Here is a 27775-nt window from a genome sequence, read left to right on the forward strand (position 1 = left end):
CAGAAAGCTGAATGGCTTCCCTGGGGTCTGCAAGTGAGACACCTTAGAAGGTGCCAGGGCTTATAAAAGACAAATTCCATGTCCCAGACCTTGTAGCTTCAAACGACCTCTCTAGATGTCATGATGTCCCTTCAAGACCATTCTAAATACATAATTATCTCCTACAGAAATAAGAAAATTACAGTTTAATAAACTAATAACTACAAAAATATTTATTTTTACTTGTTGTTTTGAGACAGAGTCTAGCTCTGTCACCCAGGCTAGAGTGCAGTGGCAGGATCTCCACTCACTGCAACCTCTGCCTCACAGGTTAAAGCAATTCTCCTGCCTCAGCCTCCCAAGTAGCTGGGATTACAGGCATGTGCCACCACACCCGGCTAATTTTTGTATTTTTAGTAAAGACGGGGTTTTGCCATGTTGGTCAGGCTGGTCTCGAACTCCTGACCTCGTGATCTACCCACCTTGGCCTCCCAAAATGCTGGGATTACAAGCGTGAGCCACCGTGCCCAGCCCAAATATCTTTTTTACATTCTTCATTCTATGGCCAAGTCTACAACTACAGAAGAGTTGGAGTATCAACAAGCTGCCTAGCAGCAAATAGCCACAAACACAGAAGTGTGTCCTTCCCTTCTCCCCAGACCCATCAACAGATGGTCTTAACCGAGTGTTCTAGAATCTCCTGCATAAATGGCATTCACCCTTCCTCCATGTCTTCACAGCGACACAGACACTAGCTGGAACGGAAATCCTCTGGGAGGCAAAACTTCCACTTCAACATTCCACTTCGAGTGCCAAGAACAGTCCCTGACTCTGGAATAACGGGTCACTGCTATTTCGCAGAGCACTCGGTTGCTACCATGTGTAGGACAAAAATAAAAGCACTGAACACCTTAACTCTGTCGCCCTCACCCCCCCGAAATTCCCTCATTCTTCCTTGCTTCAAGATTAACGTCCAAGCAGCAGAAGCTACTGGCCTAATTTTGAGCCTGACATTTGACTATATGCATCCTATAATACACACTGTATAATTTTTGCTCTTATCCCCTTGTGCAAAGTGATTGAATCGAAACATTTTAATCACCAGCCTTTTAAAATAATCTGTTGTGTTTTGTTTTACTTCTAGACACTTGTAGGATCTTTCTGACCCCGGTGTTCTAACATTTTATGATGCTGTGTCTTGGTGATTGCTTGCATTCATCTTAAACAGTAAAAACCAGATTGAAACAGAGGACATGAAACAGAGGATGTGAGCAAGACACGGGTAATTTTTAAAACAAACCTTTTAGAACCGTCTCTTACAAATGTTGTGTACAGGTAACATCCATCTCTTTAAACGTTAATGCAAGGAAAAGTGCATCCCCTATTCCATCAACAGCAAAGATCACGTGTTAAAAATCTACACTGGTGTATCAACTATAGACAATACATTTTGACTCCCAAATGAAGGAAAAAAAATACCATTCTCTTTTACATTTTAACACTCTTACATTTTCCCTTAGATGTTTTCCAAAGATGAACTAGTTATCTTTAAAAATTTTTTGTAGGCTGGGCAAGGTGGTGCACGCCTGTAATCCCAGCACTTTGGGAGGCCGAGATAGGAGGATCACTTGAGGTCAAGAGTTCGAGACCAGCCTGGCCAACATGGTGAAACCTCCTTCTCTATTAAAGATACAAAAAAAAAAAAAAAAAAAATTGGCCGGGCATGGTGGCAGGCGCCTGTAATCCCAGCTACTCAGGAGGCTGAGTGAGGCAGGAGAATTGCTTGAACCCAGGAGGTGGAGGTTACAGTAAGCCGAGATTGTGCCACTGCGCTCCAGCCTGGGCGACAAAACCAGACTCTGTCTCAAAACAAAACAAAACAAAACAAAACAAAACAAAACAAAAATGTGTAGCTAAATGAGTTGTGACAGAGACTAACTGTCCCCCAGGGCTTTTTTCCCTCCCTTCTTTGTTGTAGGAAAAGCAGCCTCCCCATCCCAGGGATTTTAGCAAGGAGGAGCCCCACAGCTAGGGAGTACCTTTCCCAGTCTCTTTGTAACTAGGTAGGGCCTGGTGGAATCCCAGGAGACCGAGTTTTGCTAGTGGGAGGTGAGCTGCTGTCCCCAGCCTCTCCCTTTCCCTCTTTCTTGCTGGGCAACCTGGAGGAGAACCAGCCTTCCACCATGCAGACATGGAATTTGGAAGAAAGAGCAGTAAACTTCTAAATTAACTTGAGCCACAGCATTTTAGGGCCTTTTGGGAACAGCAGTTGTAATCCTAACACATAAACCACACCATCAAAGCCCTCACATCAGCTGGAAGCAAAAATCCCTCAGGAAAAGGGGAAATTTTGAGAAAGAAAAGTAGAGAATCCATGAAGAAAGGATAAAAGGGACCATGAAATTTAGAAGGAGAAAAGAAACCCGCAAAAATGACCAAATCTCTTTGTTTTTAAAAAACACTTAAAAATCTTTATAGTGTTTGAACATAGTATTCACATGTAGGTAGCGTAGAAAGATGCCCCTCTAAATGGAAAACAGCTTCTTTTGTTAGCAGAAAGAGGAGATAAATTGGGAAACTAAGCAGGCAAGCATCTCAAAAAAAATTAAATTTGATCTAAACATACTGTACTTTGATGAGGAAGGGCCACGGCCAATTATGGTAATAGAATTTTTAATTGACACTTATTTGCTGGTTAGTTATTCATGTCAACATTCACCCTGCAGAATCCTTCATAGAAATTCACCCAAGAAGGGCACATAAATACATACACTTAACTGAAAAAACCATTAACGGTACTTACAAATCTAAAGATCCATTTGGGATCTAAAATTAATTTTGATGGGCTAACAAATTGCACATTAGATGTAGAGATGAAAAATGTAAAGTACATACTGCTTTCTTCATTTCACAAAACAAATCTAATGAAACATTACTCCAAATAACAGTACACCCGGCATATAAATCATCATCATCCCTTCATCTCTACGAGTCAATCAAACATTTGAACAAGAAAAGAAGTTCTAAAAACATTTTATTTTCTTTGGAGCTTTTCAAAGGGTTTGGGTTGGTTTATGTTTGAGGGTGGTGGGAGAGGTTCGTGTGGGATCGGGGAGTTGTTTCATTTCGTGACGGTCTCGAAGAAGTTTTGAGACATCCTTTTCTAAGAAATATGTTGAACAGAAGCTGATGGCTTGACATCACTCTCTACTACAAAAAAATAATCACAGATGGTTTTAATGGCTATAACTTGCTCCTATAATCCATGATGGGCTTTGGGGGGCTCTTCATAACTACTGTGTAAATATGTCATTAAGGGCTTTTCAAAAAATTGACATTGTTTAATCAACTCTACTTAACAGCTCTGTTAGTTGAGAAGAGATCATCAGAAAAATAATTAGGAAAACCTTCAAAATCATACTAATCTTCAATTCTTTGATACTTCCTCTGATTAAATCTCCTTGGAAATACAGGTTGGCTACTGTAAACTCTTGCTGCATAACCTAAGAACATTTTAAAAGACAAACATTTAAGCCTCATGTTGTATAATCATTCTATCTTCTGTTGGATGTAACCAGATTTGTGTTCATCTTCAGAAAGCAGGCAGATTTTTTTTAAAAACTGCTTCCTATCCATCCTTTTTGAGAGAAAGGCAACTTCTCCAATACAAACGCTGTTTGGCTTGGATATAAGCTCTTTGGCACATTTCAGTTTCCGTGAATGGCAGGGAACCTGCCACGGTCATTTCTGCAGCCTCAGGCTCTCAGGGTGTTCAAGTCCTCAGAAGTGGTAAGTTCCATGTCTTGTCACCACCATGACAAGGATGAGACCTCCAAAAAGGACATTTGGATGAGAAATGGAGAGAGTCCTGGTCACAGAGATCCCAGGTCAAGGATGGTCACCCACCCATTCTCCACCTCTCTGACTCCGCTTTCCTTCTCACTCCCAGGTCTCATGAATCTGTGACAAACCTCCCTATCCATTTTTAAATCCCCTCTCTTGAAATCACAAGAATCACAGACCTCTTCCATAATCCCAGAGATCATAAATGTGAAAATGATCTAAAACAAAATGACCCGGCATCAATCAAACCTGTTCTGCTCGATCTCCAAATGGTGTGGAATGGCACGTGTGATGGAATGCTCAGCACAGACTGCCCAACTCTACAGCCCCCAGGAATTTCATCCCAACACAGTCTCAGGCTTGGTTCAGAACCACCATGTCAAACTTAAGGTGGACAGAACACCCTGTGGGCAGGACAGGATGCAGTTTGGATCCTCTCACTTTCAAGCCCTGACTCTTTTTTCTTTTCTTTTCTTTTTTTTTTTTTTTTTTTTTTTTTTGCGGGGGGGAGACGGAGTTTTGCTCTTGTCTCCCAGGCTGGAGTGCAGTGGCATGATCTCAGTTCACTGCAACCTCCACCTCCCAGGTTCATGCAATTCTCCTGCCTCAGCCTCTCGACTAGCTAGGATTACAGGTGCCCGCCACCACACCCAGCTAATTTTTTGTATTTTTAATGGAGACGGGGTTTTGCCATATTGGGCAGGCTGGTCTCAAACTCCTGACCTAGGGTGATCTGCCTGTCTCGGCCTCCCAAAGTGCTGGGATTACAGGTGTGAGCCACCGTGCCCGGCCCTCAATCCCTGACTCTTTTATCCACCTCTTGCCTTCCTAAGACCCTCAGCATGAGACCACAAATGTCTGTCCCCTGTCCATCACCAACTGAGGACAGTGGGATTTCAAGGACAGTATTTGATGGACTGAAGATGCCGATGCAAAAATCTTCCAGTGTCTAGGATGTCCCTATGGGAAGCCAACTCTCAAAGAGGCAATAAGGCTACGTCAGCACCTCATAGGCGCATGCTGACATTAAAGAAGCCACTCAGACCCACACACCAGCTCCCTCTCCAAGCTTGCTTCATTCAGGGCCCCGGGAGGCACTGCCCACAGCCCCACTCCACAGCCTTCTTCCCATCGTGTTCGTGGCTAGGTCATGGTGGCAAAGTCAACCTTGATCCTTCCTAGTAAGTTTCCCAGCCTCCTGCCCAATCGTGTCTTAGTTCCTAGATTTTTTTTTTTTCCATGGGGTCCATCCCGCTGATGGGGTCTTGTCCATCCTGCTGATGGGGTCTTGTCTGTTCTGGCCAGTCCCAATCACGAGGTCTGGGGCATGCAACCTGAATTGTCCATCCGGAGGCACCATCCACACGCTGGGACATTAACACTTCATCTTAGAAAATTAGAAAATCGATAGCAAAAGATATCTGAACTACCAGGTGTGACCCCACCCAGCCACTCTTCCGGGCCAGCCTTATTCTGCACCCATGACGGCTCCAGCTTCTGTCCTCTCCCACGCTTTAGTGCCATCTTGCTTCCTCCTAATAAATGTCTTCCCAAAGTGGCCATGAACTGGCCACGACAGCTCGCTACATCTTGAAATACAAATATGTTTAATTTTTGTGTAGCTTGTCATTGCTCCAGGCTCACTGTGTTGGTTTACGGCATTCCCACTTTTAACAAGCTGGAATAAAGACTGTTTTATACTTTAAGTCTGCATGACAAAGAAGAGAAGAGTTCTACCATAGCCATAATAATAATACATTTCAACTCCTAGAACAGCAGGTTTTTACAATCTTGTTTTTCCTCCTGTGCAAATCCCCCTGAGGTTAGCCTTTGCTGTTGCCACCTACTTGGTAGACACCAAAGAAATTTACAACTTTTTGGAGGATTGAGTGCCATAAATCAATTATTCTGCTTTACTATGCAATGGCTGGCAATTCCCTTGGTAGTAGCCACACACCCTCTGGATCTGTGGATGGGGCTATCCGCTCCTCTGGTAAAAGGCATTAGATTGCTCTACTGTTGATACCACTTTTCCCAGCTCCTCTACCTCCTTCCTTGCAATTGGGTGGCCCACTAGGATTTATTTGTGATATCAATATGCATGACTAACAGCTGTCTTCTCATGCTTCTAATTTTCTGCTTCCAACATGTGCTGGGCTTCAAAATCAAGTAATGTGATTGTTGTCTCTGAATGTGGTAGGATTTGAAAAGGCTCTCCAGTGAATAACACACATACACTAGTACTAATTAGTTTTGTGTGTTGTTGTTTTTTCATGGGGGCTTTGTTCCTTATTCATTTAACAACTGCTGAGCTTTAACTATGTGCAAGGCATTATAAGAAATCAAAAGGTGAATAAAATACCATCCTTAACCAGAAGAATGAGGATGGATAAAAACTGCATTTCTCATTACCACCTTCATTCTTAGCACTGCTCTAAGGAGTTTACACAAATCCCATTTAATGCACAAAACGATCCTGTAAGGCAGGTCTCATTATCTCCAGTTTACATATGGGAATACTGCAGGTCACAAAGTTGAGAGAGAAAATACCTAGCCCAGGTTCGCACGTTTAATTAAGTGGTGGCATTAGGATCCAAAATGTGTATTTCTGAAAACAAAACATTCACGCAGCCTTACTTTCATAAGCAAATGGCTGAGATCAGTTATACATAAACAATTATATAGCACAGGCAAGTATGATCAAAATTCTCTGAGCTCACAGGGGGTAAAAAGGCAACTCTTCGACAGTATTCTGGACAGTGGACGTGGCCGAGTGAGGAGCTACTGGCTAAGGGAAAGACACTGTACCCGTGTGGCTGTATTTCAAGTGCCCTGCTATTAGGGCGCAGATACTTCTCCACTCATACGGCCCTTTGTCAAGGCCTATTAAAGCCTCTTACCTGTAAAAAAAAAAATATATATATATATATCTGATGAGGAGGGAACTTTCCACATGACAGGTTACAGAGAGCGTTTGCCATCAAACCGAGAGCAAGATTGTGTCAGTTTGTCACGGTGAAGATGAGGACAGTGTGATGCAAGCAGATGAAGTCGCTTTTTTCTGAAGTCGCTTTTTTCTGGGCTCCTTTCAGTGCTAGGCAGGCCTGAGGCCCTAGCTCAGGCCAGGTGACTCACACCAACACTTCCCACCCCGTATACTGGTCGGAGGAGCCACTTACTAGACATAACTCAGTTCCAGAGATGCCAGTGTTTTATTTCAATACCAGCAGAGAGCAGGGGCCTTTCTATTCATCCACAGGCGGATTCTCCCAGAAGGGACGCTCCAGGTGCCAGGGTCAGGTCAGTGCCTGGCTCTTGGAAGTTTCCATAGCTGTTGAACAGACCTCTAAAAATGTATAGCATAAAGATATTTTGAGACAGGGTCTCACTCTGTCACCCAGGTGGGAGTACAGTGGTGCAATCACAGCTCACTGCAGCCTCGACCTCCTGAGCTCAAGCAGTCCTCCTGCTTCAGCCTCCTGAGTAGCTGGGACTACAGGCATGCACCACCACACCTGGTTAATTTTTTTTTTCTTAGAAATGGTGTCTTGCTATGTTGCCCAGGCTTAGACAGACACATTTTTAAACTCAAAAGAAAAGAAATGCTATCTCAGAGAAGTCCCCACCCAGAATAGAGGAGTCATATTCCCCATGCCTCCAGAGATTAGAGTTTCAAATCAGCTCCCAACACCTCTTGCTAAGCCAAGGAGTGAAACAGTCAACAGCAGGGCAGAAATGGCCAACAAATAAATAAGTACACTGGGGCCGGGCGTGGTGGCTCACGCCTGTAATCCCAGCACTTTGGGAGGCCGGGGCAGGCAGATCACAAGGTCAGGAGATCAAGACTATCCTGGCTAACATGGTGAAACCCTGTCTCTACTAAAAATACTAAAAATTAGCCAGGCGTGATGGTGGGCACCTGTAGTTCCAGCTACTCGGGAGGTGAGGCAGGAGAATGGTGTGAACCCAGGAGGTGGGGCTTGCAGTGAGCCGAGATCGTGCCACTACACTCCAGCCTGGGTGACACAGTGAGACTCCATCTCAAAATAAATAAAAATAAATAAATAAATAAATAAAATAAGTACACTGGGGGCCACCACAGAAGACACCCTTTGCCAAAATTGAGTTCATCACTGAGTACACACTATTGGCCAAAAGTTGACTATATTACCAGTGTGCTTCAATATAAAATGCTTAATAACAACCGTATCATATATTCCCACCCAAAAAACACCAGGCACAGAATAGAACCCCAATATGCACTGATTGATATTAAAGTGTTTCCATTACTATGTCAACAGTAATGTGGTGATACAGTGGACCAAATCAACAGCCAGTAGCCATTTTTACCCATCCACCCAAGATCTTCCTGTCAGCTCTTGTTTTCCTATTAGCAAAGAACTCAGAGAAAGACTTGCAAATATATTACCAAAGGAATCCAATGACGGAAACAGAAACTCAGCAAATGCTCAATTATGATAAATCCTTCCAAAGCCCTAAGAACATCTAAGCATCTAAATCATAAAGAAAAAAAAAAAAAACATCTTAATGGGTAAATGAGAAGGGCTATGGTTGAGTACCATTTGTGAAAACTGGTCCTCAAGCTTTCTTGTTCATATACCCCCCATACAAGAATCTTGAAGAACTCATGTCCTCCCATCATGCATTTTCAATTTGGCGTTGAGAAATGTTTCATTCATTTCAATCATCACAAAGGATGTAATTTCCTGTGTACTGCAACTCTGACATTTGGAATAAAACTCCTATATTACTCCCATAAATATATTCAGTAAATGATCTGATACCTTCCATCCTACATTTAAAATTATACATAATAGGCCAGGCACAGTGGCTCATGCCTATAATCCCAGCACTTTGGGAGGCCGAGGTAGGCGGATCACCTGAGGTCAGCAGTTCGAGACCAGCCTGTGCAACATAGTGAAACCCTTTCTCTACTAAATATACAAAAAATTAGCTGGGTGTGGTGGTGCGTGCGTGTAATCTCAGCTACTTGGGAGGCTGAGGCAGGAGAATCGCTCGAACCCGGGAGTTGGAGGTTGCAGTGAGCCGAGATCACGCTACTGCACTCCAGCCTGGGTGACAGAGCGAGACTCCCTCTCCAAAAAAAAAAAAATATAAATAAAACAAAAAAATAAATAAATAAAAATATACATAAGTACTACTTTAACAGCAGCCTATATGCCCCAGACTCTTATCCCAACAGTCTCGTATTGTTTATCCTATCCAATTTCTCTGCAACAACAACAAAAAGTAGGCAGTATATAATTCAACTTTTTAAAAAATTTCTTTGACCATAAGAGAAAAATTTTCTTTTGGCTTAGATGATTAAAATTGTCATTAGTCTTGATCAAAATAACACGAATAACGTGGCAGTGTCATGAGTAAACATAAAAAGATAAACTGGTGTGTCTGCATGTCACGGCTGGCATAGTGGGCATGAGATCTCGATACCTCAGTTGGTGACATCCTTCTCAACCAACGTAGGAGAGGAAAGAGTGGGAGAGAAGACGGGACAGGTGGGAAAGGACGGCACTGGTCTATTCTCAGGCAGATCAGTCTCATGGAAGAGACAGGCCTGGTGGATGTAGAAACTGGCTCCCTAAATCCACGCGTGCCCAAATCATCCTTAGAAAGACTTCTAGTTCACAGGGGCTGTATCTGAACCCTAAAACAGGCCCAGACACACCAAGTGCAAATACAAATGTAGCTCACGTAGCACATGTTTAAGATTTACAAGTTATTAATCAAGCAAACAGGCTTTTAAGTAAAGTATGCCCTGTCCTCCTTCACTGACAAATATATCTTCATAATGTCAATCAAAAAGTCTGGAAAAGCACTAGAGCACAGAAGACAGAAAGTTGGCCAAAAGCCAGAGATGACTAAATTCAATTATGAGAACATGAGTCTGGGTGTTCTGCTGATGGGCCAGCAATGTTTGGATGAGTAATCAGATAAAGACGTAAGTCATAAATGATTTTATCTTTATCTATTTGGCCTTCCTTTCAGCAAAATTAACTATTTAGTTAAAAATCTAGATTTTCACATAATTTATGTTCTAGTCACAGAAATCACCTAACAGATTAAAAGATAAAATATCACTATACCCAGTCTACTTCATCTTAATTCTTTTCATCAAAATACGTAAACTGAAGAAAATGCTAAATTCAAATTTTTTAATCATTTTGTTCAAAAATGCTATTTTCCTTCTAAGTGTCCTACGATTCCAAATGTCCTCCTACTCTTTCTAAAGTGTCTACTAAAATTAATAGGGAAATGCAAATTAAAATTAGTGAATATCAAACATTTTAATTTAAAATATTAAAATAAAATTAAATATTTTATCTATTTTTTCAGCACTGAATCTCATTAAGCATGTTTATAAAGAAATAAAACTATCCACAGTTCTAGCATTCAACATTCACTCAGTTGCCAATGTAAAAAGTCAACATCGGCTTCATCCATGTCACGTCTAGGGTTCCAGATTCCCATATGTGAGAACAGTGTGAATTTGTATGGTAAAATATTTCATTTTCATTTTGTAAAACAAAGTTAATTTTGTTCATGTCTGTAACCCCAGCCCTTTGGGAGGCCGAGGCGGCTGGATCACAAGATCAGGAGTTCAAGACCAGCCTGGCTAAGATAGTGAAACCCCTTCTCTATTAAAAATACAAAAAAATTAGCTGGGCGTGGTGGCGGGCGCCTGTAATCCCAGTTATTCAGAAGGCTGAGGCAGAGAACTGCTTGAACCCAGGAGGCAGAGGCTGCAGTAAGCCGAGATAGAGCCACTGCTCTCCAGCCTGGGCGACAAGGTGCAACTCTGTCTCAAAAATAAATAAATAAATAAATAATGAAGCCCCAGTCAATGTATACAACTGTTGGAAATTCTGTACTAATTTCTTCCAGAATAGAAACTGCTCAGAACTATTGCAAAGTGATTCTTCACTCTGTAAAAAATTTATTATATTTGTGCTTTCTGAAAGAAGTAATTTGACCATTAATTTATCTCTTACTCTGACAGTGGCAACACCACAACTCACAAAATCACAGCATTCGGACACAGGTCTTTTTTCCCAAGGGCACAAGAGATGCAGAGAATTTCTCCATTTGAGCCTGATGTGTAGGTACAGGGTGCTGGAGACCAGTCCTGAAAACAGGATCCGAGGGAGAGGCATCTCCGTACTCTTGAATACACATGGTTGTCTGTGCATGTGATTCTCTGCGTTCTCTAAAAGGCACACCCCAGGCTGGAGGCCCCTCTCATCCTCGTGGAAGTGTAATGCTAACCTCAAAGGCTGCTCATGTGTTCGTTTTTTTCCTGGGGTTGAGGACAGGCCATATAGTGATTAAGATGCAGGATTTCAAAGGAGTTCAAGGCAACCCATGATGAAGGCACACTAGCTACTGCGTTTTGTTGTTGTTGTTGTTTTGTTTTGTTTTGTTTTGTTTGAGATGGAGTCTCGCTCCCTCACCCAGGATGGAGTGCAGTGGCATGATCTTGGCTCACTGCAACCTCCGCCTCCCGGGTTCAAGCAACTCTCCTGCCTCAGCCTCCCAAGTAGGGATTACAGGCATGTGCCACCACGCCTGGCTAATTTTTGTATTTTTAATAGAGACAGCATTTCACCATGTTGGCCAGGCTGGTCTTAAACTCCTGGCCTCAAGTGATCCTCCCTCCTTGGCTTCCCAAAGTGCTGGAATTACATTACAGGTGTGAGCCACGGCGCCCAGCCAGCTACTGCCTTTTTAAATGCATGCCACAGAACCCTGTACCCGGAAGTACATCCTCATTAGCAAAATCTCTTGTAAGTAATCCCAGTGGGTACCTGTAGAGTGATATGCAGTTATGGAAATTGACACAGAATTCAGATAAATCATGGTGGCCCTGCTGAGCAGCAGGCAGTGAGCCTAAAAAGTGGGTGAAATGTCTCTGCCTCTTCTTCCTACCCACTTCGTATTGGTTTTCAAGAGACTCTCTGACCTGCCACTCTGACATTTATACTTTCACAGCATTAAAGATAATCCATGCATTTACTTCGCAATCTCTCGAATTCCTACCAGAGCTTTCTGTTAAGGGCATCTATATTCAGAAATATCAACTGAACATTGTCTGTTAGGGCAAAGTAGCACAGTGATTCCAAGTGTACACAAAATGTTCTGCCTCTCCAGAAGGCATTAAGATGACGCCAGGGGAGAGCAAGTGGGCGATTCAGCTCTAGCTCTGAATCCACGCCTGGCAGGGTTAATTTTATGCATCAACTTGGCTGGGCCACGGTGCCCAGACAAGACATCTGGTCACACATTACTCTGGGTGGTTCTGTGAAGGTGTTGTTGGATGCGACTAACATTTAAATAAGTACACACTGACCAGCAGATCATCCTCTTGCTTGTGGGTGGGCCTCATCAAATCAGTCGAAGGCCCAAATAGATTGAAAGGCTGACCTCCCCAAAGCCCGAGGGGATTCTCCAGCAGGCAGCCTTCGGACTTCATCTGCAACACTGGCTCCCCCTGCTTCAGACTCAAACTGCAGCTCTTTCCTAAGTTTCCAGCCTACAGATCTTCCCCATCAGATTTTGGGCTCACTGGTCATCCACAATCACATGTTCCTAAACATAAAATTTCTTGCTATGTATGTACTGACCCTATCAGGTCTATTTCTATGGAAAACCCTGACTAAAACAATTCCAAATTAACCTCTGAATAATCCTTGGGAACCATCTAAGTTCCCAAGACTTTGAACTGAAGGTCGTACTCACCAAGCTTTAACATGATTCTAGACTCAGGAGACAAGCTTTGCACAAACCAACCATTCCCTGAGAGCCAGGCTCAAAAAGGCAGACTCTCCCTAATGACCGGCAGAACCTAAGGACTCGAGTTGGAGGCACGACCGTTGGTATGGCTCTGGAATGTTGGCACAGCCCTGGAGTGAAACCCAATGGAACCCAGCATGGCCCTGGGACATCAGCATGGCCCCGGAATGAATGGAGGCATGGCTCTAGAACACCTGCATGGCCCTGTGACATCAACATGGCCCTAGAACATCTGCATGGCCCAGTGACATCAACATGGCCCTAGAACATCTGCATGGGCCTAGAACATCTGCATGGCCCTGTGACATCACCATGGCCCTAGAACATCTGCATGGCCCTGTGACATCAACATGGCCCTGGAACATCTGCATGGCCCTGTGACCTCAACATGGCCCTAGAACATCTGCATGGCCCTGGAATGGAGGCACTGCCCTAGAACACCTGCATGGCCCTAGAACACCTGCATGGCCCTGTGACATCAACATGGCCCTAGAACATCTGCATGGCCATGGAACATCTGCATGGCCCTAGAACATCTGCATGGCCCTGTGACATCAACATGGCCCTAGAACATCTGCATGGCCCTAGAACATCTGCATGGCCCTGTGACATCAACATGGCCCTAGAACATCTGCATGGCCCTAGAACATCTGCATGGCCCTGGAATGGAGGCATTGCCCTAGAACACCGGCATGGCCCTAGAACACCTGCATGGCCCTGGAACAGAGGCATGGCCCGAGAACATCTGTATGGCCATGGAAGGGAGGCATGGTTCTAGAACATCTGCATGGCCCTAGAACATCTGCATGGCCCTGGAATGGAGGCACGGCTCTAGAACATCAGCATGGCCCTGGGACATCAGCATGGCGCTAGAACATCTACTTGGCCCTGGAATGGAGGCATGGTGGCTCTGGAATGAAGGCATGGCTCTTGAACATCTGCATGGCCCTGAGACATCAGCATGGCCCTAGAACATCTGCATGGCCCTGGAATGGAGGCATGGTGGCCCTGGAATGGAGGCATGGTGGCCCTGCAATGGAGGCATGGCCCTAGAACATCTGCATACCCCTGGGACATCAGCATGTCCCTAGAACATCTGCATGGCCCTAGAATGGAGGTATGCCCTGAAATATGGAGCCATGAGAGAAGACTTAATAAGAAGCAGCAGGGGAGTCAGAGGCTTGGATAGGAGGCCAGAGCTGCGAGCACAGTGGGAGAAGCTCCCCAGTCCAACAAACTAGAGGACGGTCAGTGGCACGAAGAAGAGTGAACAGGTGGAGGTGGAGGGGGAATAAAGGGAGGTCAACGAGGCAGGGTCAAGCCTGGAGCAGCCAGACATCCTGCAGGCCGAGCTGTGCCCGGGGGCCTTGTCTGTGTAAAGCTGCCACGGGGCTTCCCATACAAGTGAAACCCAAGGATCATTCAGGACGTTCAAAGGTCCACCCAGAGCAGGAACGGGGCCAGATGGGAGCTGAGCCCTCCATGCACCCGAGGCCGTGATCATCTGAGCTGCATCTGGAGCAGGCCAGGGCCAGGATCCTTACAAGGGGAGGTGGGGCACCAAGGGAGGGAGAGGCCAGATGAGTTGGAGGCTCTGACAATTATGGAAGTGAAGGAGTTAACACGGAAGCAAAAATGAGCCACGAGGCCATGGAAACACACAGCACCAACTCCCCCCTCGAATTCCACTCAGAATCAAACACATGCTTGACTTAAATTACATATGTTGCTGGGTTGAGAAGCAGGAGAAAATAAATTCATTTATGACTAGCACTAAAAAGGAAAACCTTCTAGTCACTGCTTCATGCTTACGGTTTTCATGTAGCGCAGAAAAACCCAAATAGCATCTGATGCAATTTACATAACTTTACATAATCTCATGGTTACCATTCGGCAAAGAACTTCCAGACCACATCTCTTCCACTTATTTGCCGCCAAAAAAGACAAATTGGAAAATATTCTGGACAGCAGCTTTCTACCCTACTCTTAAAAATCACCAAGAAACCAACTCTACAACTTTTCTCAGTGATATTCAGTCTGACCATTTTAATCTAAAGTCTTAATGATATAATCTAATCAATAAACAAATATTTACAGACCTCCTGCTATTTTCAAAGCATCGATTTCAGAACTGGCCAGAATCCTCTTAGCTTAAAATCTACTTCAAACTGCCTGATCTGGGAACAAACACACTTTCTTCAACTATGAAATAAGAATAATACCAGCCACTTCAAAAGGATGTTCTGAGGATTGACAGGATTAAACGTCGTTACCTGGTACCACAGGAGGTGCACACAAAAGTATCTTCTAATTGGAGAGCTATGACACAAACAGAATGAAATTCGTGATTCATTCATTCACTGTTCAAGATGACCAAAGAGAGTGTGTGGGGCCAGGCACACTGGCTCACGCCTGTAACCCCAGCACTCTGGGAGGCCAAGGTGGAAAGATCATTTGAGCTCAGGAATTCGAGACTAGCCTGGGCAACACAGGAAGACCCCCATCTCTACGAAAATACAAAATTAGCTAGGCATGGTGGTGCGTGCCTGTAGTTCCAGCTACTCATGAGGCTGAGGTAGAAGGATAGCTTGACCCCGGGAGGCAGAGGTTGCAGTGAGCCAAAATTACGCCACTACATTCCAGACTGGAAGACAGAATGAGACCCTGTCTCAAAAAAATAAAAATAAAAAAGAGAGTGTGTGGCATATTGTGAGTAGTGAAAAACAAATACAAACACCAAACACGGATTTCTGGGGGGAAAAAAAAACTATTCATTTTTTACTCATAAACAAAGAGTTATTTGCCATTACCTATATGAAGGGTTTTGATTCACAGCAGGACTCTTTTATGATGTGATGTGTAAATGATAGATATTAAAATTAAATACTGTTTACACCAAAAGTTACAAACACATACATACCTACTCTCTCTGTCACACACATCTACAAGCCAAGCCCATCCTGGTCTACACCATGATGAATGTGTACACAGACTCTCTACTTGATCAGATAGAATTCAAAACCATGGGAATTGTTGTAAAAGGTCCATTCAGTGCCTATTGAGAAAGGGTTACTTTGTTTCCTACCTGAATGTTCCCTCTTTCACACACCATCATCAAAAATGGCTTTTTGACAATACAATACTAACTCACTTTTTAAAATATTTATTTAAAACTTTTAGAATATTTAAACATTTTTTAATAAAATATCTAACTATGACTTTTGGTTTATTTACAGACATACTTGTCAAATAATCCTACCCTTTCTTATACCAATGTGTTCTGCTCTCTTATTACTAAGCTATCTAATATTTAATGAGTGTCTCTCTGCTTCCCTCAAGCCTGGGTGCCCAGTTAGGATTCATTATGAGTTTTTAGCATATATACTAAATTTTCTTATTGATAAACAAATGGAACTCCAGTTACAATGTCAGATAACCAAAGAAAATAATGTGATTGTTTAAGTTCCCTTAATATTACTGAAATGTCATTTACATTATAAAATATAAATTTTAAAAAGGGTCAGTCTCATAAAAACACAACCTAATTCTACTTTTTGGAGTCCACAGTTGAGCCATGTCACAGCTGGGTAAGTCCTGCTTGTCTAGTCACTTTCCTGTCCCATGTGCCACCTGCCAGCATCTTGTCCTCTACAATCAACTACAGTAAAAATGGCAATTCCCAAAAACGTTCCTAAAACCAGGCTTTAAAACTTGGCAGGAGCTGCCCACATAAACATAAGGCCATCTTCACACTTTCTCCTCACACTTCATGAATAAACATTCCTTTATTCAAATGAGTTGTATATTAACTAACTCCACTAATTTTGATTTAACTTTGAATGGTAAATTGAGTAATTCTGCCAAGACTGCAGAGTACGCAATTCAAATGACAGAAATTTTAATAACGGGGAAAATAAAAATTAGCAGCATGACTCCTAAGGCACTATAATTCCAACACTTTTATGGCAACAGTAGAAAGCACTCATAAATACGTCTCCATTTACAAGCCAAGGGGTGTTATTTGGAGCCACATCATCACACATACTTACCTGCAATCTTCCACGAGCATCTTTTTGGGGGCTCGGCAGGCACCGACTAAATCTCCAAAGCTCCCCAGCCCCAGACATTAAGAGGTAATGTCACTGCTTTTCAATAAATAACAATGAAGTCGTCACTGGATTAAATGATTTCCATACATTCTCACCATAAACAATAATTATTTGGCAGCTGCCCCTTGCAAGCATTGCATGCGCTTATGAATAAATCAAGCCTTATAGATTTACTAAACCAAAACGTTTTACATTTTGCTCCACTAATAAGAGCCATAATCCTCCGCGGCACTGGGTGACGCTTTAATGTCATATGTTCCTTAATACTTTTAATATGAAAGATTAGCCCTGATTAGCTCACAAGCAGGAACGCTGCTCTGAACGGCCGATTGGTCACAGAGCCCAGGTCTCTAAATGCGTCTTTATTAATGGAGCTCTGCCTGCTGATGGGAATCCCCTAGTGATGACATCTCCTGGAGCTGCCGCCATGCTGTTTCTCCTTCCTTGTACCATTTCACAGACTAATGATGGCTTGCATTAATTCACAGCTTACATTAATTTAAAAGAGCCATGCAAGAAAACATGGGACTGCACAGGGTCCTAAGTGCTCTGTAAAACTATCATCTAAGATAATAAAACCACTTTCTTTCAATGCAGTGACTCCAGTTACTAGAAAACTACTTTGGACAATCCCAAAGTGTCCTCGAAGATCTGGAGCTCTGCAACCTCCATCTGACAAGGAAAGGCATTCTCTCCCTTCCCCCATGAAACAAGGGCAAAATTCCCAAACATTCCCAGGCTGTTATCCACAACCAACTGACTTGACTCAGCTTCCGCTGATTACTCAGCTAAGGGCTAAAAACTCTCAGTTCTCTGGTTCCAATGGGGAACTGGGGTCTACAATTCTTTATGGGGGAAAATTCTACCCAGGCATACACCGTAACTTGCTGACCTAATGACAGTGTCTCACAATCTGTTAAACTGTCATCACCTCCAACAGTAATTCACAAACTTGATGTCTGTGCTTTGGACAGATTCCTGGGCTAGACGTCCATGGATCTTAACTCCAAACTAAACTCCATTCCTCGTGCATTATATAGGAAAACTAGCACCCAAACCCTCCTTCCTTTCTTCCTTCACAAGGGTCACAAACCTAGACATTTCAGACTAGAAAGCTCTTTAGAGATTCTATACCACAACCCCCTTGATATGGTTTGGCAGTGTCCCCTCCCAAATCTCATCTTGATTTGTAGCTCCCATAATTCCCCACATGTTGTGGGAGGGACCCAGTGGGTGGTAACAGAATCATGGGGCGGGTTTTTCCCACGCTATTCTCAGGATAGTAAGTCTCAAGAGATCTGATGGTTTTATAAAGGGAAATTCCCCTGCACAGGCTCTCTTGCCTGCCACCATGTAAGACGTGCCTTTGCTCCTCATTTCTAATTTGCCTTCTACCATGACTGTGAGGCCTCCCCAGCCATGTGGAACTGTGACTCCATTAAACCTCCTCTTTTTTTTTTTTTAGATGGAGTCTCGCCCTGTTGCCCAGGCTGGAGTGCAGTGGCGCGATCTCGGCTCACGGCAACCTTTGCCTCCTGGGTTCAAACAATTCTCCTGCCTCAGCCTGCCGAGTAGCTGGGATTACAGGCATGCGCCACCACGCCCAGCTAATTTTGTATTTTTAGTAGAGACGGAGTTTCACCATGTTGGCCAGGCTTGTCTCGAACGCCTGACCTCGTGATCCGCCCGCATCGGCCTCCCAAAGTGCTGTGATTACAGGCGTGAGCCACCACACCCTGCCTAAACCTCTTTTTCTTTATAAATTACCAGTCTCAGGTATGTCTTTATTAGCAGTGTGAGAACAGACTAATACCCCCCTCATGCAAAGATGAGAACCCCAAGAAGGGGACTCACCCATGGAGCTAAGTTAATAGCAAAGGCAAGATAAGAACTCAGATCTTGGGCTGCAGCCACAGGCCCCTCCCTTTATACCACTCTGACTCCTGGAATCAGTAAGAAAATCTCCGTCTCACCAAGAAGCCTCCCAAACAGAAACATCATACACCCTGGATCGCTGTAACTCCTGTTCATATTCTGCGGTGCCTTTCAAGTTTAACCACAGCAAAGATCGACCAGGTATGGTTGCAGAATTTACAATGATATCAGGTCTCTAAGACAGAAAAAAAAACACACAAATAAGAATCCTTGTTTAAAAAATAGATTCTACTGTTCCCTCCGGAACAACTGCCGCCTCTGGCTACAAAGCAATAATTATTCTGTCCTACAGCGATCAATAAAACTTCTTGCCCCATGAACCTGCTATTTCCTGACTCTGCTCTCCATATTAAAGATTTCCAAGTCATACTGATTACCCACTAAATGTTTTTGAGTTCTTTAAAAAATATCACTGAAGAATTCCTCAAATTAGCATAAGTTGTTAACAATTGAAAAGACTTTAAGTATTTCCATCACATTTATGGTTTCCCTTTTTCCAGGGTGTTCTCATTTTTCTTTTTGAACTTGTCATTTTAAGTGTGACTGTGGCAAAGTCAGTAGGATACAAATTTGATGGTGTTTCTGAGAGTGTGTGTGACTGCTGCCACATTTGTCTTCTGAGGGAGAAGGAAGAATTGATTAATAAACTCTGCCCTCTTTCTCAAGCAACAGCATACATTTTTACCAAATGAACCCATTAGCTCTTAGAGTATTCAGATTCAAGACCCCAGAACTTGTCTCTAAAACTATTCACTAGAGAAGCTATTACAAAATGAAACCATCTTACATCCTTTCCAAGGGCCTTTCAAGATTCAAGTGTTAAACTTGAAGAGTGAGTCATGAATGTGATGGTAAAACCGTCGGCAACAAGGATGGGGCCTGAGGCTCCCACCCACTCTATGTGCCCCCTCTGTGTGCCCTTCTCTTGATGCCCCCAAGTGTGTACACGGCCCCCGGCATGAACGCAACTCCCCTGAGTGTGAGGGGGCACAAATGTGTGGCACCTGCGTGCAGAGTTGGGGATGGGGGAAGGTCTCTAAATCTCTAACTAGACCTGGCATTTCCTCAATATTCCATCAGTACAATTCCTCCATCAAGGCTGATTTACTTCACGACGGATCAGAAATCATAGGTAAATTAATCAAACGTTACACCACAGCTTCTCACCTCAGTGGAGGTTTTAATTCAAAGGCAGATCTAACAATCTCCCTCAGGACCTGTTTAGGCTGGGTCTGGGGCTGAGTGAATCAGATGTTACCAAAAGCATGAGCATGCACTGTGCCTCCCAGGGTGTGCCTCCTGACCCTGCGATTTGCGTACACAGAGCTGGAGCGGGAACTAAAAATAAAACCTGACTTAAGAACAGCCATTCTCCAGCACTCACCTGAATAGAGAGGCTGGAAATCCAGGCTCGCATGTCCAGAGAGAAGGTGCACACAGCACTACTGGCAGCTCAAGGAGGAAAGGTGAAGGAGAGCGCACGTGCTTCCTCCTTTCGTAACAATGACTGTTCTTTTCCTTGCTATTTCAGATGACCATGTAAGCCGCACTTTTACCTTCTTCAGTAAATCACTCGATTACTCAGTGAATCTTTACTGAGAATTCCTCAAGCACAGGCAGCACGTGCTAGAGCTGGTGTACACAGACGAGTGGGTTCACACCATGCAGCTTACTGTCTGGGGGGATAAAGTGTACTCCATTCAAAGAACCACCCAAGTGGAAGAACAGCTGCCTCTAAATGTCCACCCACTGATGAAGGGAGAACAAAATATGATCAGTCCATGCCAGAGAATATGATTCAGCCTTAAAAAGGAAAGAAATTCTGACACAAGCTACCATGGGGATGAGCCCTGAGGACACTATGCTTAAGAGAATAAACCAAACACAAAAGGCCACACAGCATAGGATTCCATGCATGTAAAATGCCCAGAATAGGAAAATCTACAGAAACAGAAAGTGCATTAGTGTTTGCCAAGGGTTTTCCGGGGAGGGGGAGAATGGGGAGTGACTTTGGAGGTGATAAAAGAAATGTTCTGGAATTATAGTAATAATGGTTGCACAACCTTGTGAATATACTAAAAAATCACTGAACTGTACACTTTAAAGTGGTGAGTTTTATGGCACGTCAATTAGATCTTAAAAAAGAAAAGAAAAGAATAGTACAACTGCAACCGTGATGAACACTGAAGGCGCAGGCAGCCACGTGGTGCAGATAGGGTGTGACCTGGCCCATGAGCACAGACAGTGTCAACCTTGGTGCAGGTGGAAGAGGGAGCTATGCTGACAGCTGGAGCAGGAGGAGGATGCGGAAAGGAAGGAGGTTCTCAGCATAGGAAAGAGCGGGTGCAAAGACCCAATGCAGGAAAGAAAGAAAGAAGACCCTTTTTCTCTTTCTTTGGAGACAATAAAGGGTCAAAATGTCAGCTAACGCCATGGCAATGGGTTCGATCCTGACAAATGTCACATAAATGCAACTCTTAACTCCAGCCATTTTATGACCCCCTTCTTAGCAGGCTATCAATTACACCTAACAAAGGGTAATTAAAAAACCACAGGCTATTCCAAATTATCAGAAAAACAATATATCATAACAAAAAAAAAAAAAAAAAGATAGAGCTCCGATACCGTGAAAGGCTAAGTAAGGCAACTGCTAATACCACAAACAGAATGAACCTGGGGATTTCACCTCTCCAAGTTTATACGTCACTTCAAGATGAAAACAGGCAGCTAGCTACGAAGAGGACACCACACACATTTGCAAGGTGGCATCAAGAGCCTGCAAGTATCGCTGCTGCCATTATCATACAATAAAACATAGAGAGTGGGGTGTAGAGATTCACGTAATTAGCTGCCCTCAGTTTTCTCACTTAGGGGATCAGATGAATTCCTTCAATGCATTTATCATGTCCAGCCCATTCTTTTCCAGCAGGCTTTCTCCCCCTCAGCACTGCTGGCAGGCTGAGCCTGGTAATTATTGGTTATGGGGCTGTCCTGTGCATTGCGGGGGTTTAGCATCATCGCTGGCCTCCACCCACTAAATGGTAGTAGCAACTCCCATGGCCCTGACCAAAAATGCCTCCAGATATTGCCAGGTGTCCCCTGGGGGGTAAAACTGCCCCCGGAGAGAATAGTGGCTTTGTAGCAACTAAATTGATCATATCTATATGGGCTTTGACCACTCCCTTGAGACCAATGTCATTTCTCTCATCTGTATGGTTTTCTTTCTTTCTTTTTTTTTTTTTAATTATACCTTAAGTTTTAGGGCACAAGTGCTGTATGGTTTTCTAAAAGCTTGACACCCTGACAGTCTCCCAACAAGACAGATGAAAAGTTATTAGAGAAGCCTGCTTAAGACACTCTGTTACTGTTCAAATGTCGACTTGCTAAAGCAGAAGAAAAGCAACATGGCCAATCACCAAACACAAGACCTCAACTCCTGATGTCCTTTCAGCCTTCCTTTCTTACCCTCCAATTCCTGATGTCCTTTCAGCCTTCCTTTCTTACCCTCCAATTCCTGATGTCCTTTCAGCCTTCCTTTCTTACCCTCCAAAAGGAATTTAAGGATTAGGCATACTTTCAGTTCCGAAAAGCCAAGTTTGGCTCCATTGTCAGCACCAGCTCTGACATCTGAAAATGCACTGATCTCCCTCCAGCTAAGGAAACCTGAGAAACCACTCTGAAAGAACTGTGAGACCTTTGCACTAAGACCATTAGGGATTCTACGCAAGGTTCTCTCTGCTCCTTGCAAAATTACAGGCGTCATGAAGGATGGCGGCTCGTAAATCGAAGCCTTTGAAACAGGGGCTCACCGTCCGGCGGCATCAACACCTTGTTGTTCTGTGTGCACCACCCCACGGGGTGCAAATCCGCGATGACTACGTCACACCAGAAGTCGGCCCTGCGGTCCTCCCCGTAACCGCAGTAGCGCAGAAGCAGCAGCTGCCCGCACGTGGTAATGATCGTGGCCACCCAGTACGTGTCCGGGTTGTTCTTATTAGCCACTTCCAATTTCATTCCTGGCTGGAAGTTGCTCTGAATGCTGATTTCAACCTTAAGGAATCAGAAATAGAGAAAACCCATTACTACACTAGACACAATACATCCAGAAGATGACAAAAACCACTAAAAAATATGGCACTTACAAACAATATTCCTGTTGCTCTAAAACAGGCATGTATTTATCTAAGTAATACACTATGGAAGCCACAAACGTAATGCTAAACTTTACATTTGCAGCCAGCCACGTTAAGAACAAAAAAGAATAAATTTAATTCTAACAATATATTTTAACCCAATATATCCAAAACATTATCACCTCAACATGTAATCAATATAAAAAACATTAATGAAACAACCAACTGTCTTCTTTTTGAATAAAGCCTCTAAAACCTGGTGTGTATTCTACACTCAGAGCACATCTGAATGTGGACTACACGGTTTTCAAGGACTCACAGGACCACATGATAGGGGCTATTCCATGAACAACATGGCCCTAGAAAATGGAGTTGTTTTTTAATTAAGGGTGATAGTCTGTTGATATCTACCAGCCCTCAACCCCAGAAAAAGCTTTCCAGCCTGGTGGGTCTTAACATTGCAAAGCTGACATATCCGCTGTCCGCAAGTGGCCACTGCTGAAAGGAGATGACAGACTTATCAATCACACTTGCATGGGTCTGAGGCTACTTTTCCTTTAAACCTGGCATACGGACCTGGGGACTTCTGCAGCCTGAAGGACAGCCTCCAGCTCTGGCCCCCAGGACACTATATTGTGATTAAAAGGGAGGTGGAAGGATTGACTGAATCAAAGAAAATAGGAGTGACTCCATACAGAGAGAAATTGATAACTTCTCAGTACAGAAAGGAAGGAAAAATTGTGATCAATGTCTCTTTCCTAAACTGCCTAAGGCAACTGCCAAATCATCTCAGCATCTTAAGATATAAATGTTACAATGGCTTTTGCGGGACCATAACCACATCATATGCTTGAAAGCTTTGCTATGTTTTAATATTTAGCTCTTGGTTTTACTAAACAGCCACAATCACGTTCATAATAAACTAGTAAATATAGCATGATGAGTATAAAGAGAAATGGAAACATGATCTACCTTTTCAGGGTCACAGAAATTTAATAAAAATCTTAAATTCCTTTTGGAAAGAACACTTCACCTCTAAAAAGAATAAAATGTTGTATTAAAATAAGGAATCAAATCGGGCATGGTGATGCATGCCTGTAATCTCAGCTACTCGAGAGGCTGAAGTAGGAGGATAGCTTGAGCCTGGAGTTCGAGGCCAACTCAGGCAACATGGCGAGACTTGGCTAACAGAAAATAAATAAATAAAAATAAGGAATCAAAGTTCTGGCTTCTTCATTCAGCCAAGGAGCCAAAAGGAAGAACAGGTTAAGAAAGTGCCCCGATTTACTGATGAAACTCAGGCTGAATCTTTGCCCTGCATGGACAAAGTGAAAAATGTTTCTCAGAGTTAAATCTCCATTTCTATTTCTATTAAAACAAAAATTAAAGACTAAATTTCCAGGACCCAACTTCTTAGAACCCAGGTGAGTTAGACTTTTCCCTGCTAATGATATTATACATTACCAGTATCTTACACCAAAGCGAAAACCTGATAAAAACTGACTTTTTAAAAATTTTCTGGGACTTGCCCAGTGCTGGACATGCTATTTGCATTATCCAAAGAAACATTATTGATGAGAGTGGTTTTTTTGGTTGGATCCAAATGTTTTCATCATATTTATGGTTAGTTCCTCTAATCTGACTCATCTGCCAATAAATGGCTGGAAATCTTTTATGAGCTTTTTCAAAATCAAAATATTAATTGAAGCTGAAAACATACAGCCATTACACCTACTAAGAATACATTACACCTACTGGTTTAGTTTTCCAGCTCTTTACTTACTCAAGCTGACCCTACCTGTGGTCTATATTCCCTGTAGCTATCCAGGGAAACCAAGCTAACTTCCAGGTCTCCTCCTTCTTCCTAAGAAATCTTGGCTGAATTTCCATCTTGCCTTTTTGTTTGAGACAGGGTTTCACTCTATCACCCAGGCTGGGGTGCAGTGGCGCAATCTTGGCTCACTGCAATCTCCACCTCCTGGGCTCAAGTGACCCTCCCCACCTCGGCCCCCCAAGTAGCTGGGACTACAGGCGTGCACCACCACACCCAGCTAATTTTTATATTTTTTGTAGGGATGGGATTTAGCCATGTTTCCCAGGCTGGTCTTGAACTCCTCAATTCAAGTGATTTGCCAGTCTCAGCCTCAGCCTCCCAAAGTGCTGGGATTACAGGTGTGAGCCACCATGCCTGGCCACGAATTTCCCTCTTTCCTCTGCCCTTCTTCCATTGAGTTCTCCGGCTTCTCCCTATAGATTCCTTCCCTTCCCACTTTCTAGACACAGAGAAGACACAAGCTGCTTTACATACGTGTTTGAATGATGTGTGGGGAGCAGCACTTGCTCCTGTCTCTTCCAAATATTCTCCCCAGTTAAAGCCAGTTTCCTCCAAGCTTGAGCCTTCTTCTGTTGAAAAACAAAAGAACAGAATATCAATACTGGAGTGGAGGACAGAAAGGTGCTGGCCTGCAACTGAGACCAGAAAATCCTTCATACAAGACACAAGCTAATTCCACAGTTCAGAAGGATATTGCTGAATTTTTTGCAAAGCTTCAGTCTGCTGATTTTAGAAGTGTTGACTAAAGAAAGGAAAACATGGGACATTCCGCTTTGACTGCACTGATGAAATCAAGAGTAACACTGGGTTCTCTGGGGTAAATAACATGAGACATGTTCCAACGCATATTTGCTACATGTTCGTGTAATAGTTTGAAATTAGCTGCAGTAGACATCCCAGCCTGCAGGGAGGCTGGAGGACAAGGCGAAGGAACCCATCGTGCGCTGAGCAAGGGCTGTGATGTAGGCTGTGATGTATACAGAGAACAGCACTAATTGTTATAAAGATAAAGCACTGACTCTGGCATCATTTTAAGGGGAAAAAGAGAAAATGAGGCCCCAAAGAATTGCTCGAGTGTGTGGGGCCACCCAGCCAGTCAACAACACAAACCGACCAGCTGCCTGACACTCCCGACGCCTGGCCAGTCCAAGGCTCCCAACTCTTACCTACTGCCGGGACACAGCTGTTGGGGCCCGACACTCCGGCAGAAACCAACAGTGCATGTGTTTCTCCAACCACAAGGAATAAAGAGAAATACAATCAAATGCACAACATGGCTCTTAAAATCGTAACTATTTGTAGGGGGGTATTTTGTTTTTTGTTTTGTTTTTTTGAGAGACAGAGTCTTGCTCTGTCACCCAGGCTGGAGTGCAGTGGTGCAATCTCGGCTCACTACAACCTCCACCTCCTGGGTTCAAGCAATTCTCCTGCCTCAGCTTCCTAAGTAGCTGGGACTAAAGGCGTGCATCACCACGCCCAACAAATTTTTGTATTTTTTAGTAGAGACAGAGTTTCACTACACGTTGGCCAGGCTGGTGTCGAACTCTGAACCTCAGGTGATCCACCTGCCTCAGCCTCCCAAAGTGCTAGGATTACAGACATGAGCCACCATGCCCGGCCAGAATCATAACTATTTGAATTTCACAAATCCACACACCCAGGCTTGAAGGAAATCAAGCAATTCCCCAAACATTTAAGGCTACATATACGATAAAACTTGTATAGCCAAAAAGCATCAAATAATGCATTTTAACATATACACGGCATAAATGTGATGGCATCATTTTAAATGGAAATAATAAGCTGTAAACATTATTTGAACCAATTGGCAAGGCCATGATAAGAACATACAACAGAAAGAGCTGTCCAAAATGCACACGAGAGTTCCAAAAGTTTAGATGATCTTCCTGCAATAATGTCCAATGGATGCTGATGCTCAACCCATTTATCTTCTAGAAACAAGAGCCTGTGTCACTGGCCAAGAGTAAATACTGCTTTCCATCTTGTGGCTGGTAGAGAACTGATATCCGATCCTATCAGATAGGCCAGGGGACATGGGGCCAAATAAGAATGCCTTCTTCTGGAGACTATCACTACTTTTTGTCCACCTGTAATTTTTTTTTTTTTTTTTTTTTTTTGAGATGGAGTCTTGCTCTGTCATCCAGGCTGGAGTGCAGTGGCGCGATCTCAGCTCACTACAACCTCCACCCCCCAGGTTCAAGTGATTCTCCTGCCTCAGCCTCCTGAGTAGCTGGGATTACAGGCTTGCACCACCACGCCCAGCTAATTTTAGTAGAGATGGGGTTTCGCCATGTTGGGCAGACTGGTCTCGAATTCCCGACCTCAGGTGACCCTCCCTCCTCAGCCTCCCAAAGTGCTGGGATTACAGGCGTGAGCCGCCACGCCCGGCCTTCTTGAAATTTTTGAATTATAAGTAGGAAAAGTAAGTCTCTCTTAATACTTTGTGTACTCTCAGAAATTGAGGGAAGAGGATCATTTTTGTAAAGTCAGAAGAGCTGAATTGAAAGGCTATTTTAAATTTTGCCTTCTAAGCCCAAGTTGCTTAGAATGGCCTCCTCAACTTTTGCTTCAATAAAGTGACTTACAGTCAAACATCCAAAAAAGAAAAAGAAAAAGCTATCAGGAGAGAAAACCTTTCCTTGGTGGTGCTCTAACATTCGGTCCCACCCAGGGATTGACGCCCTTCAAACAGAAATGCACTTCCTGAGAAAATAAGTCAACAGGTCCTGCAGCCTCCAGTGAAGAATGGATGACACCAAGAAGTTTAGAGCGTCACAGACACAGCGAAGTGAACTAGAGAGAAAGCAGCCGTCTCCTGGAAAACACCTCAGGGTGGTACCTGATGGCTCTGTTGACAGTCCCCTGCCTCCCAACGGCACTGGGCACCTCTTACCAAATTTGCTTTCCGATGCACTAGTCAGAGGCGTCAGCTCAGCACTATTGCTCTGCCCCAACGTCCTGATGCAGTATCTAAGGATAGCAAACTTGCTGCAGACAAAGTCCAGAGCTTCTTTCCATCCTCCTTGTCTGGCCTCAGCTTGAACCAGACCCTCCTGCAGCCCCCTGCCTGCCCTAGCCTGTGTCAGTAACTT

The 27775-nt window shown here is 43.7% G+C and overlaps 1 protein-coding gene and 1 long non-coding RNA gene across 10 annotated transcripts in view, besides 2 other annotated features; both read right to left on the minus strand.

Annotated features, from left to right (window-relative positions):
* The window catches only part of SFMBT2 (Scm like with four mbt domains 2), a 252867-nt gene that overhangs the window by 186521 nt on the left and 38571 nt on the right, over window positions 1-27775 (minus strand). For 7 of the 9 annotated variants that reach the window (NM_001029880.3, NM_001387890.1, NM_001387889.1 and 4 more), the window contains exons 3-4: window positions 25137-25231; window positions 22505-22745 (exon numbers count right to left, since the gene is read on the minus strand). In NM_001029880.3, coding sequence (NP_001025051.1) covers window positions 22505-22745; window positions 25137-25231 — 336 coding nt within the window. Of the gene's footprint in view, window positions 1-20079; window positions 20372-22504; window positions 22746-25136; window positions 25232-27775 lie in introns of those variants that run through there. The other 2 variants (XM_047425570.1, XM_006717490.2) reach the window with 1 other exon arrangement.
* LOC124902372 (uncharacterized) lies at window positions 2997-20073 on the minus strand. Its single transcript, XR_007062049.1, has 2 exons — window positions 13093-20073; window positions 2997-13016 (listed from the first exon to the last, which is right to left on the minus strand). It is a non-coding gene; the product is annotated as an uncharacterized LOC124902372 (long non-coding RNA).
* Window positions 16765-17964: an enhancer, noted in NCBI's record as "P300/CBP strongly-dependent group 1 enhancer chr10:7403871-7405070 (GRCh37/hg19 assembly coordinates)". NCBI's record gives its function as "activates an origin of replication core promoter dependent on BRD2, BRD4, P300/CBP, MED14 and CDK7 cofactors, with strong dependence on P300/CBP, by STARR-seq in HCT116 cells {active_cell/tissue: HCT116}" and the evidence as "EXISTENCE:reporter gene assay evidence [ECO:0000049][PMID:35650434]".
* Window positions 20055-20554: an enhancer, noted in NCBI's record as "H3K27ac hESC enhancer chr10:7407161-7407660 (GRCh37/hg19 assembly coordinates)". NCBI's record gives its function as "activates a minimal SCP1, AML or CMV promoter by ChIP-STARR-seq in naive H9 embryonic stem cells {active_cell/tissue: H9 hESC(naive)}" and the evidence as "EXISTENCE:reporter gene assay evidence [ECO:0000049][PMID:30033119]".

This window comes from Homo sapiens, chromosome 10 (genome assembly GCF_000001405.40).
Source record: "Homo sapiens chromosome 10, GRCh38.p14 Primary Assembly".
In the NCBI taxonomy this organism is placed as follows: domain Eukaryota; kingdom Metazoa; phylum Chordata; class Mammalia; order Primates; family Hominidae; genus Homo; species Homo sapiens.